Source organism: Homo sapiens, chromosome 3, assembly GCF_000001405.40.
Source record: "Homo sapiens chromosome 3, GRCh38.p14 Primary Assembly".
Lineage (NCBI taxonomy): Eukaryota > Metazoa > Chordata > Mammalia > Primates > Hominidae > Homo > Homo sapiens.
The window spans coordinates 1,226,333-1,240,679 of record NC_000003.12 but is presented as its reverse complement, the minus strand read 5'-3'; the positions used below and the strand labels follow the sequence as shown (position 1 = coordinate 1,240,679).

Here is a 14,347-nt window from a genome sequence, read left to right as displayed (position 1 = left end):
AGACACCAAGTAGTGGGATTGCTGGATCAAACGGTAGATCTACTTTTAGTCCTTTAAGGAATCTCCAACACTGTTTTCCATAGTGATTGTACTAGTTTACATTCCCACCAACAGTGTAAAACTGTTCCCTTTTCACCACATCCATGCCAATGTCTATTATTTTTTGAGTTTTTGATTATGGCAATTCTTGCAGGAGGGAGGTCGTATTGCATTGTGGTTTTGATTTACATTTTTCTGATAATTGGCAATGTTAAGCATTTTCCCATTTGTGCTTGCTTGCCATTTGTATATCTTCTTTGAGAATTGTCTATTCATGTCCTTAGCCCACTTTTTAATGGGATTGTTTGTTTTTTTCTTGCTGATTTGTTTGAGTTCCTTGTAGATTCTCGATATCAGTCATTCGTTGGATAAATAGATTGTGAAGATCTTTTCCCACTCTGTGGGTTGTCTGTAAACTCTCATGATTATTTCTTTGGCTGTGCAGAAGCTTTTTAGTTTAATTAAGTCCCATGTATTTATCTTTGTTTTTGTTGTGTTTGCTTTGTGTTCTTGGTCATGAAATCTTTGCCTAAGCCAATGTCTGGAAGTGTTGTTCCAATGTTATTTTCCATTATCTTTATGGTTTCAGGTCTTATATTTAGTCTTTGATATATCTTGAGTTGATTTTTTTTAAGGTGAGAGATGAGGATCCAGTTTCATTCTTCTACACTGGGCTTTTCAATGATCCCAGCACCATTTGTTGAATAGGATGTCCTTTCCACACTGCATATTTTTGTTTGCTTTGTTGAGGATCAGTTGACTGCAAGTTTTTGGCTTTATTTCTGGGTTCTCTATTCTGTTCCATTGGTCTATGTGCCTATTTTTGTAACAGTACCATGTTGCTTTGGTGACTATGGCCTCAGAGAAAAAGGTGAAGTCAGGTAACGTGATGCCTCCCAGTGTGTTCTTTTTGCTTAGTCTTGCTTTGGCTGTGTGGGCTCTTTTTTGGTTCCATGTAAATTTTAGGATTGTTTTTGCTAGTTCTGAGAAGAATGATGGTGCTATCTTGATGGGAATTGCACTGACTTTGTAGATTGCTTTTGGCAGTGTGGTCATTTTCACAATATTGATTCTCCCCAACCATGAGCATGGGATGTGTTTCTATTTGTTTGTGTCATCTATGATTTCTTTCAGCAGTGTTTCATAGTTTTCCTTGTAGAGGTCTTTCACATCCTTGATTAGATATATTCCTAAGTGTTTGTTTGTTTGTTTTTGCAGATATTGTGAAAGGGGTGGAGTTCTTGATTTGATTTTCAGCTTGGTCACTGTTGGTAGGCAGCAGAGCTACCGATTTGTGTACTTTAATTTTGTATCTGGAAACTTTGGTGAATTCATTTACCAGTTCCAGAAGATTTTTGGATGAATCTTTAGGGCTTTTTAGGTATACAATCGTAACGTCAGCAAACAGAGACAGTTTGACTTCTTTTTTATCAATTTGGACACGCTTTATTTCTTTCTCTTTTCTGAATGCTCTGGCTAGGACTTCCAGTACTATGTTGAATAGAAGGAGTGAAAGTGGGCATCCCTATCTTGTTCCAGTTCTATATCTTACTGGTTTAATCTAGGAGAGTTGTATATTTCCAGGAATTTATCCATCTCCTCTAGGTTTTCTAGTTTATGCATGTGAAGGTGTTCATAGTAGCCTTCAATAATCTTTTGTATTTCTGTGATATCAGTTGTAATATCTCCCGCTTCATTTCTAATAGAGTTTATTTGGATCTTCTCTCTTCTTTTCTTGGTTAATCTCACTAACAGTCTATCAATTTTATTTATCTTTTCAAAGAGGCAGCTTTTTGTTTGATCATTCAGGAGCAGATTATTTAATTTCCATGTATTTGCCTGGTTTTGAAGGATCCTTTTGGAGTTGATTTCCAATTTTATTTCACTGTGGTCTGAGAGAGTACTTGATATAATTTCGATTTTCTTAAATTTCCTGAGACTTATTTTGTGGCCTATCGTATGGTCTATGTTGGAGAATGTTCCATGTGCTGATGAATAGAATGTGTATTCTGCAGTTGTTGGATAGAATTTTCTGTAAATATCTGTTAAGTTCATTTGTTCTAGAATATAGTTTAAGTCCATTGTTTCTTTGTTGACTTTCTGTCTTGATGACTTGTCTAGTGCTGTCAGTGGAGTGTTAAAGTCCTCCACTATTATTGTGTTGCCATCTATCTCATTTCTTAGGTATAGTAGTAATTGTTTTATAAATTTGGGAGCACCAGTGTTAGGTGCATATATATTTAGAACTGTGATATTTTCCTGTTGGACTAATCCTTTTATCATTATATAATGTCCCTCTTTGTTTGTTTAAACTGCTGTTGCTTTGAAGTATGTTTTGTCTGATAGAAGAATAGCTACTCCTGCTTGCTTTTGGTGTCCATTTGCACGGAATATCTTTTTCCACCCCTTTACTATAAGTAAATTTGAGTTCTTCTGTGTTAGTTGAGTCTCGTGAAGACAGCAGAGACTTTATTGGAGAATTCTCGTTTATTCTGCCATTCCGTATTTTTTAAGTGAAGCATTTAGGCCATTCACTTTCTATGTTAGTATTGAGATGTGAGGTACTATTCTATTCACCGTGCTATTTTGTTGCCTGAATACCTTGTGGTTTTTTTTTGTTTTGTTTTCTGTTTTCTTTTCTTTTTTTTTAAACATTGTGTTATTGTTATATAGGTTCTGTGAGATGTGTGCTTCAAGGAGGTTCTATTTTTGTGTATTTTGAAGATTTGTTTCAGATTTAGAGCTCTTTTTAGCTGTTCTTGTGTTGGCTTGGTAGTGGCAAATTCTCCCAGCATTTATTTGTCTGGAAAAGACTGTGTCTTTCCTTCATTTATGAAGCTTACTTTAACTGGATACAAAATTCTTGACTAATAGTTGTTTTGTTTAAGGAGGCTAAAAATAGAATCCCAATCCCTTTTAGCTTGTAGGGTTCCTGCTAAGAAATCTTCTGTTAATCTGATAGGTTTTCCTTTATAGGTTACCTGATGCTTTTGTCTCATAGCTATTAAGAGTCTTTCCTTTGTCTCAACTTTAGATAACCTAATGACTATATGCCTAGGTGATTATCTTTTTGTGATGAATTTCCCATATGTTCTTTGAGCTTCTTGTATTTGGATGTCTAGATCTCTAGCAAAGCTGAGGAAGTTTTCCTGGATTATTCTCTCAGACATATTTTCCAAATTGTTAGATTTCTCTTCTTCCTCGGGAACACCAATTATTCTTAGGTTTGGGTATTTAATGTAGTCTCAAACTTCTTGGAAGCTTTGCTCATTTTTTAAGAATTATTATTATTATTATTGTTTGTCTTTGATGGACTGGGTTAATTTGAAAGCCTTGTCTTAGAGCTCTGAAGTTCTTTCTTCTGCTTGTTTGATTCTATTGCTTAGACTTTCCAATGCATTTTACATTACTCTGTGTCCTAGATTTCCAGAACTTGTGATTGTTTTTTATTTATACTATCTATTTCACTGAAGAATTTTCCTTTAATTTTCTGTATAATGTTTTTAATTTCTTTAAGCTGGACTTCACCTTTTTTTGGTGGCTTCTTTTTTTTTCTTTTTGAAACAGAGTCTCGCACTGTTGCCCAGGCTGGAGTGCAGTGGCGTGATCACAGCTCACTGCAAGCTCTGCCTCCCAGGTTCACGCCATTCTCCTACCTCAGCCTTCCAAGTAGCTGGCACTACAGGCGCCCACCACCACGCTTGGCTAATTTTATGTATTTTTTAGTAGAGACAGGGTTTCACCATGTTAGCCAGGATGGTCTTGATCTCCTGACCTTGTGATCCACCCGCCTCAGCCTCCCAAAGTGCTGGGATTACAGGCGTGAGCCACCGCGCCTGGTCTCTGGTGCCTTCTTGATTAGCTTAATAATTAACCTTCTGAATTATTTTCCTGGCAATTCAGAAGTTTCATCTTGGCTTGGATCCATTGCAGGTGAGCTGGCATAATCTTTTGGGGGAGTTGAAGAACCTTATTTTGTCATATTATCATTATTGTCTCTCTGGTTTCTTCTCATTCGGGTACATTATGTCAGAGGGAATATCTGGGATTCAAGGGCTGCTCTTCAGAGTCTTTTGTCCCATGGGGTGCTCCCTTGTTTCGGTGTTCTCCCGCTTCCCCTAGGAATGGGGCTTCCTGAGAACTGAACTGTAGTGATTGCTTTGCTTTTCTGGATCTGGCACCCAGTGGAGCTACCAGGCTCTGATTGATACTGAGGAGTGTCTGCAGAGTCCTGTAATGTGATCCATCTTTAGGTCTTGCAGCTGTGGATACCACCACCTGCTCTGGTGGAGGTAGTAGGGGAGTGAAGTGAACTCTGTGAGGGTCCTTGGTTGCGTTTTTGTTTAGCGCTGGTTTTGTGTTGGTTGGCCTCCAGTCAGGAGATGGCGCTTCGGGAGTGCATCAGCTGTGGTCCTATACGGAGGATGCAAAAGTATTCAGGTTTCTCAGGTGGTGGGCAGGGCGATAGAGCTTTCAAGACATTATGACTTTTGTCTTTGGCTACCAGGACACATAGAGAAAGACCACCAGACTGGGATAGGGATAAGGTGTGTCTGAGCTCAGCCTCTCCTTGGGTGGGGCTTGCTGCAGCTGCTGTGAGGGATGGGGGTACAGTTCCCAGTCCGATGGAGTTATATTCCCAGGGGGATTATGGCTGCCTCTGCTGAGTCATACAGTTCACCAGGGAAGTGAGGGAAAACGCAGTCACAGGCCTCACCCCACCCCCACACAGCGTGAGTCCTAAAGGCCAGTCTCACTCCCACCATGCCCCACCCGCCCCCAGCAGCACTGAGTCTATTTCCAGACAGCTAGTGACCAGGGCTGAGAACCTGCCCCAGACCACCAGCCTCCCTATTGAGAAAGCAAGCCGACTCACAGTTTTTCTGCATCTCAGGGAGCCTGCAGCGGTGATCCAGTTCTTTCAAAGGGTTTGTGGATTCTCTCGGCTTTCCTGGTATGTTCCTGGGGTAGTTTCTGGGGCAAAGTATGATGTGAGTCTCCACATGCTGCTCTATCCCTCCCAGCAGGAGCTGCAAGCTAGTCTTGCTGCTTATCCGCCATCTTCTCTCCTGTATTTGCTATTTAAACACCTGAATCTGATTTACTTTTTAGACAATATTGGATATAAATTCAGATAATTATATACACATTATTACTTATAAATGCTCTTTATATGTATTATATATTTATTTATATATAAATAAACAATAGAAATATTTGATCCTTTAATGCAAAAAATGTCACTGTAATTTGAACCAATTTTATAAATCTTAGAAGCAAAATCTCTATGTGCTATGTTCATAAATTCCTTGAAACAGTTTGTCAAATAACATGAGTAATAAACAAGCATTTCAGCTTGTGCATCTGTCTCAGTTTTGTAAATCAGAAACTCCCAGTTTTGATAGAATGGATCCCCTACTTTCTTATATTTTCCTCTCCCATCCCAACTCTTAGCCTGCACAATTTTATTCAAATGAACTAAAAAGACTAGCTCCTGCTGAATATAAGTAGAAGTAGGCAGTGGGAGAAGGCCTGAATTTTGAAAAAGTACCATTTCTGATAAGACACATAAATAGATTTCCAGCAGCGATAGTGTGGGAAAAAATGAGGCTAAAGCATTGAATAATCTACTTCCCTGTTGATTTTAAATATAAATATAACAGTGGCTTGCTATAATTTAACCACGCAACTGCTTACAGTCTATTTGTTTAAGATCTGAATTATTTTTAAAAGCAAAGACAAAGTTTTCTCCTTGATATGATAACAATTGGTGGTTATGCTGTTATTTCATTAAGACAAATTGAGAATATTAAATCCATTGTAACATTGCTTATGCTATTTGCAAATGATACTGAAAAAATCAATACTAATTTACCAACTTTTTTAATTTAAGAAATTAAAGAAAAAATATTTCTTCATGGCTTTTGTTCAGTTAGTTCTTTTCTGATGTAGAAAAAAGGTTAAAAGCCATTTAGCATTTTCATTTATAATTAGGTATGCATTACCCACTTAATACGCACTTCGCAATTATCGGAGACTTTACAATTTCCAAAAGCATTTTTAAGTGTTATTTTTAAAGCTTCTTCTGCTGGGTCTTAATTTCTTTTTCTGATATAAATGCACTTTATCACCATATCATCGGGAGCACATATAACTGCTTTTATATTTCTTATATATGAAAGAATTTTAAAGAAATTTGGAAACTCTTAAAATTTATTTCTAAATGTGAGGGTTTTTGTTCTTGCTTATAAGACCCTGGTCAAAAGATAGAAATAAAAATATTTATCACCTTTAAATACACAAATATCTTAGAATCCTTCTGCAAGGAGTCAAAGACCTTTATGTTACGACTTTACCTTTTTTGTTTTTCTTTGAATATGGCATTAAATTCATGAGAATTCTGATTTACTTCCTCTGTCTACAAAATAAATATAAATTTAAAAAGTTGTTTCAAGAAGGAAATGTTAGAAATTCTGGGTCTGCTGTAGGTTAGTTGACCTTGGGCAAGTAACATAGTTGTCCTGCCTTTTAATGTCTTCACCTGTAAAACATGGTTAAGAATAGCTTACAGGTATAGAATAAAGATGAATGGCATGGCAGGTGTAAAACCCTTTGCATTCCTCTGGAAAAAACTATGATGATTGTAAATGCCTACATGTTTATAGCCCTTTAAAATGCATTCTTACTGCATTTTAACCTTGAACCATTTAAAATCAATCCTGTGATGTGGTGCAAGAATTCGTTCACTCCATTGTATATGATAAAAACTGAGGTTTGGGATGCCCCCTAAGTATGTGTGCTATGGTTTTGATAATATTAATAATATCATTAATATGTCAGACTAACATATTTAAGGAAATAGTATGTGGTATTTCAAACTACTTTTTTTTTTTTTTTTTTTTTTTTGAGACAGAGTCTCGTTCTGTTGCCCAGACTGGAGTGTACTGGCACGATCTCAGCTCACTGCAACCTCTGCCTCCCGGGTTCACGCGATTCTCCTGCCTCAGCCTCCCGAGTAGCTGGGATTACAGGTGCACACCACCACACCCGGCTAATTTTTTGTATTTTTTATAGAGACGTGGTTTCACTATGTTGGCCAGGCTGGTCTCAAACTCCTGACCTTGTGATCCGCCCGCCTCGGCCTCCCAAAGTGCTGGGATTACAGGCGTGAGCCACCGCGCCTGGCTTCAAACTACATTTTATAAACAACTTCAACATCCTTAACATTATTCAGAACGGTTCCATTGCTCTTAGGATAAGCAGTAAAATACAAAACTTGGCCTCTTAGTATTTGTATGGCCAGACCCCTGCCTAGCTCACCATCTTCAACTCATACCAGTCTATCAGTTGCCCTTGCCCTCTGCTTTCCACATAATATATTTGGTCCTCATAGTAACCCTATATGAAATGGGCAATACTGGCATTTAACCATAAATTAACACCGTACACAGTGTCATACTGAGTGTGGAATATTGTACTATGATGGATTTTTGCATGTTTCTTTGGCATCTCATAATATCTCTAAATTATCCTATTGTTTGCAGATTAGGCCCGGATATAAAGGACTACTTATAAGTGGCTCCAAATTAGTTTTCAGTCTCAACCTAGAAAACCAGTCATTTCTGATCCCTAGCTTTCTGCATTTCAGTTCTCAGGTCTTTTGCCCACCTCCCCACACTTTCTTCGATACTTGAAGATTGTTCACACATCTGCATTTCCTCTTACTGTTCTTCCGACCTGTACTTTCTCTACCACTTTCTCTGTCCAGAATACAAACTAACATGTCAAGGTTCAATGCAAGCCCCATTTCCTTTGAAAGGCTTCCCTTGCCTTTTCTCCAATTCAGACAAACTTCACTACTTCTCACTTTGAGCTCCACTCTGTTATAGGTCAATTTCACCTTTCTCACTTCACTTGATGTTTTGGGACAGTGCAGTAGGTGGTAGGACTCTTCACTCTGTCTGGATTTGAAAACAGACTCTCCCACATACGGTGTGTGATTTTAGGCAGGCTAGTTCATTCTTCTGTGCCTCAATCTGCTTATCTGAAAGTGAAGATCATGATACTCTCAGAGGGTTATTGTGAGGATCAATGGAGCTAATTTACATAAAGAGTTTGGAACAATGCCTGCCACATAATACTTTGTAGGCGTTAGCACTTTCCTTTATTTTCCTTTTCTTATTTTTAATTTTATTAAAGGTTTCCCCTGTCTGTTCTGTTGAGACAGGAAGTAGCTGTTTCTTATCTACCATTTAATCTTTAGGACCTAGTGTAGTACTTGATGGGTATAAATTAGGTGTTCTCCGGTTGCTTGGAGGATGAATAAATGAAGGGTCAATTAGGAGGCTCCAGCCCAGCTGCCTTTCCTTTTGCAATAATGGAGCAAACTTATTTGAAATGCTAGCTGTGATTACACATTAAATAATGTAGGATCAAAAAGCCCCATTCATGACTACCTTTTATCATAAATGTTTATCTTTTCATTGGTAGAGTTATATATTATAAGGGCATTTAAAAATTACATCTGAGTGATATCATGGGTTTCTTTCAAAACACCTATCTCATTTTCTCAAGGATGACATTTTAAACAGCAATGACAGATGCAATGTTCTCTCACACAAGTACAGAGTAATTCATTAACATACATACATACAAAAGGAAGAGGTCTAAGTTCAACCTTTACCACCAAAAGCTTTGATAAATAAAAGAAATTGAAAGCAGCTACAAGTGATTTTGGAAGTCAAACTAGTTTTATCATTCAAGAATGCCAGGATGATAACAGAAGCCTTTGGTGACTAGACTCCTGCTGAATTTGTTTTAGGGTAGAGTTTGGGTTGGGGAAGAAAGAGATACTTAAAATAGGATCTACCTGAGTATTTGGAAGGACAGATTATATGACAATAGCTGAAAGAGACTTTTGTAATCAAATAATTCAAAATATACTTTAGCTAAATCCAGAGAACTGAATGACTTGTCTAAGTTACATAGTTGGTTAAAGACAGATTTGATTTAGGAGTATGTTTCACAACAGGTAGTTTTTATATACAGGCCACATTTCAGGATGGTTTCATGATGAGACGATTCATAATGAAGCAGAGTGTTACAGTCTGTGTCTAAAATAAACTCAAAGTGTGCTTTTGGATTACTGAATACCAGGATAAAAGTGACAAACAAAAGCCATCAATTATCTAGAGGTATGTCCCTGCAGCGTTTCTGCCATGGACAGGGTAGATTCTGAAAGGTTGTTCATAAGGCCATTCATTCTGAAGGTCAAAGTGACATTTTACAATGGACTGCCAACGGACAGGAAGCAAGGGAGTTGATCCATTTTTATTCTGATGCATAGCTTGTTCTTATCTATGGGAGTTCATGGGAGTGGGGCTTCTGCACCCGCTTTTTTCTGTCAGTAAGTAGATCGGCAATCTCATATTAAATGTTTAATCTCTGTCTCGCTTTGGATTCCTTAGAAGCAGAGCCTGAGGCAAGGATTCAAGTGCATATGATTTATTGAGGATATCCTCTTAGGAGAAAGGCAGGGAGGGAAGAAGGAAACAGCAAGTGAAGAAGCTAATTAAGGTGTTGCAGCTGTTGTCTGGTTTCAGCCTGATCCCATGGAGAGGTTTGGGGCATGAAATGCAAAAAGGGATATCTGTGGGTATTCATAGCTGGGGGTTGGCACATCACTTGCAAAAGCGGATGTGGACAAGGAATCACCAGCCTCTACTACCAGGCTTATTTGACCCATTCTGTCCTGAAGATACAGTTTATTATTTAGACAATTACTGTGCCAGCAAGTGAAACAAAGAAAGAAGGCCCACATGAACTGTGTGGTCAGTGTTTGAGAAGGACTCAATACTGTGACATGAAGTGCATGAGTTTTAGAGTCTGAAGTCTTCTTTGTCTATACACAAGTTCCAACTTTTCTCTAACAACATACTTTAAGAAAGCCCCAATATCAGTGAGCCTCAGGCTTCTAATCTGTAAAATGGGGGCAATGATAGCAACTGCCTCCTACAGCTGTTGTCCAATTCAAGTGAAATAATATATGTCAAAGCACATGTATTATATTTGACATGAAAAGAAAAGAACAAGAAACTAGCCTTTAGGAAGTTTTCAAATGTAAACTAAACTAGGAGAGTTTCCATAAGAAACTCAAGTGGTTTGAAATATATAGATGTCTGTCTAAGTTGAGATAGGTAATAATAGTGAAAGAAAGAATTAGAGCTGTCATTTCCCTAGGGTCCATAATGGATCAGGGACTTGACCTTCATTTTCTCAGTGACTCCATGTCACTGTCCTATGTGGTGGCTACTGCTGTATCCTCATCGTATAGATTTCTTAACAGAAGCTTAACGTTGTTAAGAAAAGACCTAATTTCATACCACTAGATATTTGACAAAAAGAATTTGAACTCACACCTCTCTGTTTCCCAAAATCTCAGCATTTATCTGCTGTGGTTATCCTACCAAAGGCCTTTTCTATCACAATTGATATTGTTAAAAATTTATGAAGGAGGTTGTGAGGAATTATAATTAAGATGAAGGTACAGTTCATGCACTTTAGGAACTTTCCATTTGGTTGGGGACTGGCATTTATACCCTTTACTCTCTGTTTCCACACTCTCGCACATGTCTCCCCGGATACAATGAGAAATATTTCAGACATGACACCACCACCATGTTGTGGTCCTTGCTTTTGCAAGCTCTTAGAGCCTAAGATCCTTTAACTTTGCAGAAGAAAGATTAGTTAATGGATATAGGCCATCTTACTTTCTGCATTAAAGGTAATAGAAATGCTTTTCAAGATCAACAGTCATACACCTTCTGCCCCAAAATGGAAAATTTTATGATAAGATGGGAAAGTCAATAAGGACAGAAAAATTGATTTGTCCCATTTAGCCAGATGAAAGCATATAATTTCTTCTTAATTGAGACTTTTATTCTGATATGGCATAAACAAAATAAGTTTTAACTAGAGAAACTTCTCGTTGCAAGAAATTTTTAAAGCAGAAAGAAGGTATGATATAATAATGTAGGACATTTTAAAACATATTTTTGTTAAAAAGTACAGAACAAAGGAGAAGAAATCTATGGTTATATCAAAGAGTGCATTGATTTGAGATGTAGACATTCAACTGTTTTCGAGAGTAGATAGAATCATAACTGTAGAGAAACTCGAGGGTATAGCAAATAAATATGCTGTATGGAGTTTCCTTTACCAAAGAGTCAAATTTATGATTATGGAATCTGATTCATATCATGTGTATGTTGTAGGGTCATCTCCTATCCAAGCAGGAGAAATAAACAATTACTGTGGCAGAATCGTTCAAAGTCTGGAACAATTCTTTATTTCTATAACATAAGTTTTTATGTTATTTTGTTCCCTATTATTTTTCCAGGTGATAGTCTTAGCTGAAATGAAGAAATCAAGTGTTATAAATATTTTTATCCTATGTTCGAAAGTAGCCACTGGCCCTTTCCCACCTTCTATTTAGGTTAATAAACTTCCACGTTCACTTCTTACTTCCATAGATACAAATACATTTGGATACAGTTAGCAACATATTTATGTGTGTATATCTGTATATATGTATATGTGTGTGCATGTGTGTATGTGTATGTGGTGTATGTAAAATCAGAAGCAAGGCCATCCCCAAAATGGTCAACATAAAGAGAACTCTGTGTAGATCAAGGGATCTCTGGTGTAGAATAATCTTTGGAACACAAGACTTGCAATGAGAAACAGACCCAGTTATTAATTCATGTATCTACTGATGACTGAAGTAGTTTCACAAGGTGAGTTTTGGTCATGTATTTGTTAATAAAATTTCAGAACAATTACTTTTTCAAAGTAACAGACAGTATAGACATTTCTATGAGCCCTGCAGGTATAGCAGCTCACTTTTTGGTTCCTTGGCTAGATCCTCTGGGACATAATGGTTGGTGCAAAGGGAGAAATGCAAGCCTTCTACTTTATCCACATCAACAGATATAATTACTCTCAAGCAAGGCTTTTGCTGAATCCAGTATGAAACATTTCAGTCCCTGGAAACACTATATATAAAGGATATTAGACGCAGTATGTCTATTGTTCATCTGCTAATGTCCCCAAATGTCACCAGGGTAATTACTTGGATGACATTTATGTGATGCAGCTGGACATTGTTACAGTTAATATAAAGCCTGCCTTTGGCAACCACTTTATTTCCACCTACATCAAACTACGGGTGCATGATCGCTTTTCTTGGGAGAACGCCCACCTCCCCCAGATGACCTCTCTGCCCTCAGCTTTTTCTTCCTGTGCTCTCCACATTGCATTAATATCCAATGCAAAAGAAAAAGAAAAAGAATGCTATATCATACATCTTTATCTTAATATTTATGTCTGAAACTTTTAGAAATGTTTCTAAAAATAATTCACAAAATATAATAACATTGATCTTTTCCCTGTTTTTTTTATTCTTTTTTTAGAAGCAGGTTTCTATTATACCCAAGAATCTAGATTCACAAAATGAACATTGTCAAAAGCCCATAAAGTCATATTCATTCTCAAATATATCATTGGCAAAGCTAGATTTTTAAAATGTGTGTATCAGAAGAATATTATATTTTCAGAGACAAAGATTACAAAATTTACCCCAAACTCACATGCAAATTGGAGCTTTGCCTTCCGACTCAGAATTGTCCCCAGAAGATTGGTGGCCAGGCACTGGTACATGCCAATATCTTGATCTGTGTGGGGGCTATTGATTGCAAGACTGCCTCCATCCAACCTGTAGTGATAACTCATAGTAAAATCAATGTCTGTGCCATTTTGCTTCCACCTTCAAGGAAAAAAAAAATAAAGTGCTTATAATATACAGAGTCAATCAATCTTTGTCTTAAAAAACATGTAGTTCTAATTCCTGCAACTATAAAAAACACCAAAAAACATGATTACATGTGGAGGTAATCCTACCAGTTTTACCAAAGGTAGCTGTCTTGGTGGGTTTGGTGAGATCAGTAACTAGATTATTTGAAAGATGTACTCTTTATAAGTTACATTCACCCAAATGTATACAAAGAGGAAACAGAACTCTCAACATGAGAAATAAAAATTAGACAGTCAGTCAATAATACTGGCCAACCTATTCCTTTAGTGACTTTTCAAATAACATATACCTTACCTGAACATCCACAACTGGTAGCACAAAATTGAATGTCAAAATGATTTAAAGATAGGAATTCAAGAAGCGTATATTGAAAGCGGCAAGCATAATTTTACAACGCCAATTCAGGGCTGATAACAAAACAATAATAACCTGACTACTTTAGAACATGATTACCTCTGTTAGTATGTTACTTGGAAAATTAATCATGTTGAAAATATTTCAATGGTACTTAGAAATGCCAAACTAAAATTATACTTTAGCAAAGCAAATGCTGTTTGAGAGGTTTTTATTTTGAGAAGCAAAAATTCTCTTGGCTTAGCTATTAGTCAACAATTCTTTAGTACATGAATTAACTAGCTGAAGAGTCTTAGAGTTATATTTACTTTCAAAGATTCATAACTAGTTTTAGAAATTTTATTTGGTCATTTTTAAGACAAATGAATACCTGATTATTATCTCTAACCAGACTCACTTTTCCTACCTTGAAACTCCCAACTCCATCAAAATCCCCAAATATTTTGAAGCATGAATCGTATATATCTAATGAGATACATTCCTAGGGCACAGGCTGTGTATAGTCACATAGACCATTTTTTAAAATAAACACTTAAAACTATTGAATAATGACAAACAGTTGTGCATGTAGAAAAATATCTTTTCTCACTCATTGCTAAGTTCATGGCTGAGGTCTCTAAAAGGAAAGGAAGATTAATAACAGAAAAACATATAATTTTATTTAATATAAATATTCCATGACATGAAAGCCTTCAGAAAAAAAATCCTAAAAAACAGGAAAACCTGTGTGTTTTTAATGCTAGTTTTGATGAAGAGTAGACAGTCCTGCAGAAGTATGATTGTAAAAAGAGGGTATGATCTAATGGTAAGAAACTGGCGGGAAGTTAGCAAGGCCTTTTGTTCCAATTCTTCTTGATTTCTCTGTGTCTTTGAGGAGGAAAAGGGTGTTTCTTTCCTCTGGATATAGAAATGATACCTCTGGAATAAAGGTTTTATGACCTGCTTCAGAGAAGAAGAGTGAGGGGAAGGTGAGAATGATCTTCCTGCTTCTGCTATTTTCTCAAATGCCAAGGTGCCATATTTTGAGGTGGTATGTCCTGAACCCCATCACAGTCATCTAGGAAAACAAGTGAATGATCTTTT

General features: G+C 36.9%; 1 protein-coding gene across 23 annotated transcripts in view, besides 1 other annotated feature; it reads right to left on the bottom strand.

Moving 5' to 3' along the window:
• The window catches only part of CNTN6 (contactin 6), a 311,194-nt gene that overhangs the window by 163,538 nt on the left and 133,309 nt on the right, over window positions 1–14,347 (bottom strand). For all 23 annotated transcript variants that reach the window (XM_011533590.3, NM_001349351.2, NM_001349354.2 and 20 more), the window contains one exon: window positions 12,687–12,862. In XM_011533590.3, the coding sequence (XP_011531892.1) occupies window positions 12,687–12,862 (176 nt within the window). The remainder of the gene's footprint in view (window positions 1–12,686; window positions 12,863–14,347) is intronic.
• Window positions 3,980–5,179: an enhancer, noted in NCBI's record as "BRD4-independent group 4 enhancer chr3:1277185-1278384 (GRCh37/hg19 assembly coordinates)". NCBI's record gives its function as "activates an origin of replication core promoter dependent on BRD2, P300/CBP, MED14 and CDK7 cofactors, and independent of BRD4, by STARR-seq in HCT116 cells {active_cell/tissue: HCT116}" and the evidence as "EXISTENCE:reporter gene assay evidence [ECO:0000049][PMID:35650434]".